General features: G+C 48.1%; 1 annotated feature.

Annotated features, from left to right (window-relative positions):
* Positions 2,111 to 2,611: an enhancer, noted in NCBI's record as "H3K4me1 hESC enhancer chr6:31442899-31443399 (GRCh37/hg19 assembly coordinates)". NCBI's record gives its function as "activates a minimal SCP1, AML or CMV promoter by ChIP-STARR-seq in naive H9 embryonic stem cells {active_cell/tissue: H9 hESC(naive)}" and the evidence as "EXISTENCE:reporter gene assay evidence [ECO:0000049][PMID:30033119]".

Below are 6,002 nucleotides of genomic sequence, written 5' to 3' on the forward strand. Positions count from 1 at the left end.
GCTTGAGCCCTGTACCAGTGTCATATTCCAGGAGCCAGAGTTACAAGGGATACAAAGTGCCCAGACCTACCAGAGAAGGCAAACCCCTACAGCATGCAGGGCTAGACAGGGGCAAGAAACAAGGTCATTCTGGGCCAGCAAGAAGAGGGAAAGGGAAATTACAGTCATACTTCAGATATATGCAGGTTTGGCTCCAGACCATGGCAACAAAGCAAGTCACACAAATTTTTCAGTTTCCCAGTGCATATAAAAGTTATATTTACACTTGACTGTAGTCTCTTAAGTGTACAATAGCATTATGTACAAAATGAACTATGTACATACCTTAATGTAAAACTACTTTATTGCTAAAAAATGCTAACAATCACCTGAGGCTTCAGCTAATCCTAACCTTCTTGCTGTGGAGGGTCTTGCCTCAATGTTAATAATTGCTGACTGATCAGAAGGGTGGTTGCTGAAATCGCTGTGGCAATTTCTTAAAATAACACAACGAAGTTTGCAGCAAGATTATTCTCCTCACTTGGACACTTAGAGGCCATTGTAGGGTTACTAATCGGCCTGCCTTCAATATTTTTGTGTCTCACAGAATAGGGAAGGCCGGGAGAGAGAGAGAGAGTCAAGAAACCAGCCAGTTGGTGGAGAAGTCACAACATACACAACATTTATCAATAAGGTTCACCATTTTATAAGGGTGTGGGTCATGGTGTCCCAAAACAGTTACGAGAGTAACTTCAAAGATCACTGACCACAGGTCACCATACAGGTGTAATAATGAACAAGGTTGAAATACTTCAAGAATTACCAAAATGTGACACAGAGACATGAAGTGAGCACATGCTGTTGGAAAAATGGTGCCAAATAGACCTGCTTGACACAGGGTTGCCACAAACATTCGGTCTATAAATAAAAAAGCAAGAAAAAAGAAAGAAAGATGGAAAGAAAGAAAAAGCAAAGGAAAAAATGCAGTGTCAGCAAACAGTAATAAAGGAAAGCACAGTGGAAGGTGCACCTGCAAAGGGGAAATCAGCACTGAAGCAAAGTCAGGAAAAGCTTTCAAGTCAGATGGGCCTGGACCTGGGCATGAACCCTCCAGGTCCTCCCACCAGCCAGCTGAAGAGGCCTGAGCACATCTGACCCAGAGCTGGCCCCGACAGACACTTGCCCAGTGAGTGAGTGCTGAATGAAACCATCTGAGCCAGTTTCCTCATCTGCAAACCAGTGACATAATTCCTGCCTTGCAGAGTTTCAGAAGAATAAGTGAGAAAAGACACAGTGCCAAGAGAAACAGACACAAGACCTGTGGCGGGCTGGACACCAGGGCTCTAAAGCAAGTTCTGCCTAAACTGGCAAGAACATTTTTCAGGTCAGGAACAGGAGTTGTTCTGGATTCTGTCTGGGGTCAGGCTGGGAGGGAGCTGGGGGTGGCAGAGTAGGATGGGGGCAAGGGCTGTGGCAGGGCCTGGCACTGAAGTGAGGCCAAAGCCTGGAGAGAGTGGCTCCTGGTGGCTTTTGGGCAGCTCACGCAACTCCCTGCCTCACCCACTGTGTGAGTCAGCGTTCTCTAGAGGAGCAGAACTAATAGGATGTATGTACATATGTAAGGGAGTTTATTAAGGAGAATTGACTCACACGATCACAAGGTGAAGTCCCACGACAGACCGTCTGCAAGTTGAGGTGCAAGAAAGCCAGTGATGGATCAGTCCAAGTCCCAAAACCTCAAAAGTAGGGAAGCTGACAGTGCAGCCTTCAGTCTGTGGCCAAAGGTGTTTGGCTGCAGATTCCAGGACAGGACCTTCTTGTCCTCTGCAGTGACCCCCCACCTCGCCTGACTATATCTGTCCAACTTGATGGTGCCACCGAGGGTTCTGATGCAGGGAAGGAGCTGTGTGCTCTGTGTGGGAGGATGCCTTCTGCCTTTCTAGCTGGGCCTCAGGTCAGGGCTTTGAGCCTGAGCAGGGAGAGGAGATGGAAGGGAGATGGCCTTGGAGCAAACGTCTGCCCCTGCCAGTGCATCCCGTAGGTATCATCCCATCCACCAGTGCCTTGGCAGGACCCCACTCACTCAACCCTCCCCCTGGTGGTAGTCCCTGGTGGTGCCTCCTCAGGACCTCCTGCCTCCAGCCGCACAAATCCCCAAGAATGGCACGTGGGTACAAGGGTGTTGGGAAGTGTCATCCTCCAGTGCTGACTTGAGTGTGTGTGTGTGGCTGCACACGTGTGTGCATGTGTGCACAAGTGGGAATTGGAGTGTGTGTACACGTGTGTAAGTGTGAGTGTGAGAGTGGAGCATGAATGTGCAGGTGCCCACAGGCAGCAGTTGGGGTGCCAGTGTCCTCACTCCTGCCTGCTTTCCTTTCTCTCCAAAACGTGACCACACAGCAACTTAGTGACTATCTAGATTTAAGTCTATCAAACAGAAGGGAAACACAACTAGGATTCCTGTAGTGTAGGGAAGGGAAATGCCTAGCCCAGCTCTCTGATTCCCCTTTTAATGGGTTTGAGCTGCAATATGGGTGCAGAAGAGCCTCCCACAGCGCCACTGGTGGTGGAGGAAATAGCCCCTCTCATTGGCCCATTTTCACGCTGCTGATAAAGACATACTGGGAAGAAAAAGAGGTTTAATTGGACTTACAATTCCACATGGCTGAGGAGGCCTCAGAATCATGGCGGCAGGTGAAAGGCACTTCTTACATGGCAGTGGCAAGAGAAAATGAGGAGGAAGCAAAAGCGGAAACCCCTGATAAACCCATTAGATCTCGTGAGACTATCACAAGAATACCATGGGAAAAACTGGCCCCAGTGATTCAGTTACCTCCCCCTGGGTCCCTCCCACAACATGTGGGAATTCTGGGAGATACCATTCAAGTTGAGATTCGAATGGGGACACAGCCAAACCGTATCACTGGATGAGAGCAATTAGATTGATGTCATGATGTATATGGGTCCATGGGAACTTGAAAAAGTCTTCCCCTTCCACCTAGTTTAACAAGATAAACAGGAAAGGAACTTCCCTTAAGGGAAGATATTGACTCTATCCCTGAAATTAAATCACAAGAAAATAAGAAATGCATGAGATCTAAACTAAGCCATTTGGGTAAACTGTCTCAGAATTTAAAGCATCAGCAGTCACAAGCTATCAGTATCAGTGACGATTCTTTCACTCCATGGTCTAGTCCAACGAGACTGGTCAGGGCTTGCCGCCTGCTCCTCGGTGCTGTCCTGGTACTTTGAAAGTATCTGTGATTCTGTGAACTGCACCGCCAGCTGCCCAACAACTTCCCTTTGCTGATCTGAGCCAGACTCTGCTTTTATGGCTTACACCCAAATAATTCAAGTTATTTTAAAAAAATAATAATAAATCAAGTTATTCATTTATGAGTTATACAGTCCCATGTGGGGAAAGGGAAGGAGAGTGAGGTAATACTCAATTTTACTACCTGCTATGCATTTATAAGTGAGATACTTCTTTTTAAAGTCATATTTTTGGATTAGAACAAACTCTGGTATATTTAAGTAAATTCCCTGAAGAATGTGAACACCGTAAGCAGGTGAGTGCATTATTCTCTGCTTCCCCTCCACAGAGCTGTGGTTCACTCTCCTCCATCCTGCCCCCTGCACTGGGGGCACCACAGAGACAGCACGGCCTGTGCTCCTGCACCACCTGCTTCTGCTTGGGTGTGGATGATAACAGGCACCTGCAGGAGATGGGAGCGTGGGGGGAGAAGTAACTCAGGGTTTTCACTTCCCTCACTCCCTTTGGACAGCTCTGCGGTTCTGTAATCATTGCCGTCCTCTACCTACAGCCACAGGCCTGCAGGGCTGCCCCTAGTGAAAGCTACAGATTTCCGTGAGTTCTGGAAACTGCTCCCTCTTCCTTGTTCTTTCAACTCAGAGATGGAAACAGTTTCCTGCCACTGATCATCCCAGGGAGCTTCAGCACCCCTTGTGGCTTTCTTAGGCCTGCCAGCACCTCTGTAATGTGTGTCTTCTTTCTTTGTCATCTCTTTCCTGCCAGGACCCTGACTGTCCCACAGAAGAAGTGACAAGAATTTATTTATGACATGACAATAACACATGTATTCATGGTGTTAATTCGATTTGTTTCATAGAGACAGGGTCTTGCTATGTTGCCCAGGCTGGTCTTCCACTCCTGGCCTCAAGCAATCCCCCTGACTTGGACTTCCAAAGTGCTAGCATTACAGGTGTGAGCCATTGTGCCCAGCCCTTAACTTGAAAATCTGACAGTATAATAAAAGAAAAAAATAGAAGTATTCTGGAAATGGAAGAGGAAAGAAGGCTAAGGTGGAAATCATCAATCTGTGTCATCTGAGAAGCCCCACGTGCAGAGGCTGTCCCGGGACTTTAGGGGAGAACAAAAACAAAGCACCCAGGATCCTGGTGTCAGGGACAGAGCATGGCCACGGCGGGATGGTAGTGGCTCTCCTATGAAATAATGCTCATAAACATCCCTTGTGAGAAGGATCAGATCAACATATAAAAATATGCCAAATAAAGTGAAACTCAAGGCAGGAGTGGGACTGGCCATTCTCAGCCCGTGACCTCCATGGACTTGGAGAAAGGCTCAGCCTGGAGATGTGTGAGGCCTCCGACCTGGAGCAGCACCCGCCCCTAAAGACCAGGCACAAATCCCAGCACATGGAGGGATCCAGACAAATACACAAGAGATGACCACAGCAGGAGCTTTACTGGGCACAGAGCGAGGCCACACACCACTCAGCTCCTGCCCCTCCACCTGCCCTTCTCTCCCCACCTGCCCCTGCCCCAGCACAGCAGATCCTCAGAATCCAAAAAGAGAACCTAACTTCCATGTTTTATTAATGGCTTATAATATTTTATCACATCTTCAGAAAACACTATGCAGAAGATAACTGTAGAGCAAGACATCTATTTAGGGTGAGTGAGTCACAGTGGAGATCTGGGAGGGAGACCCTGTAACCCTTTCATTCCAAGAAAAGAAAGGTCGATCCAAAGAAGGGGACCCCAGGCCTGGATATTGGGATTACATGAAAGGGGTTCTGGGGCATCAGGGGAATGGGTCCCTCTCCCTACATCCTCCCGGGGCTGTGCTTGGGAGGACAGCAGCTGGGGGAAGAAAAGTCAGGGTCCACAGAGATATAAGGGGGCTGAGAACTATCTGTGTCTTGCTGGTCTGCACAAGGCAGCTCTCAAACTGTGGAGAACATGGTAATGACCAGATTCAGCTCAGCCACTCTCAGCCTTTACACCTAGAGCATTATGGGCAGCCCATCACCATCCCCTACCTTCAAATCCAAAGATCGCTACAGCCCAAAGCTGCTCCCTGGCCTCAACTCCTGTTGGTATCAGGCCCCAAGGAAGCTGTGAGCACGTCTGCCTGGGACCCTGTCACCATCTGGAGAATGACAATAAAGAGGACCCAGCAGCCTGCAGGAGGAGACTGTATTTGAGGCAGGACCATGGGATGGGTGAGGCACAGGACTGTGGCTCCATCCTCTCTATTTGAGGAGTTAGAGATGAGCTGCCTCTGCCACCCCTTCCATGGTGATATTTCTAGAGTACACCCCTGTGCTGAAATTCTTATGAGGAAAGAGACCTGATGAGATGCTATGGTGAAGAGGGGCCATAAGGGTCTTGAATACCAAGTTAATTTTGCTACCAGCTGAGATTAGGAAGTGAAGCCCAGGACCCAGGAGAGGAGGAGGAGGAGATAACACAGGACCCTGTGATCACTCTCCTGGCCATCTGTGTACAGTGAGATGCTTCCCTTCGGGGTTGGGAGCACCCAGTGTCATGGTCCTGAGTGTTGCTACCCTGCTGTTCTCATCTGTGAATGCAGCCAGACCACTTTCTTCCTCTGATATAAATAACTTGGAGGATCTGTCACCAGACACCTCATATCTACATATTAATAAATTCTGTACAGTGGTTTGGCTTAATGTTTTATATGTTATAAGAAATAAGCAAAACATAGGGATGATATTTTTAGTAAAGGTATTTCAGGG

This window comes from Homo sapiens, chromosome 6 (assembly GCF_000001405.40).
Source record: "Homo sapiens chromosome 6, GRCh38.p14 Primary Assembly".
NCBI classification, from domain to species: Eukaryota; Metazoa; Chordata; class Mammalia; order Primates; family Hominidae; genus Homo; species Homo sapiens.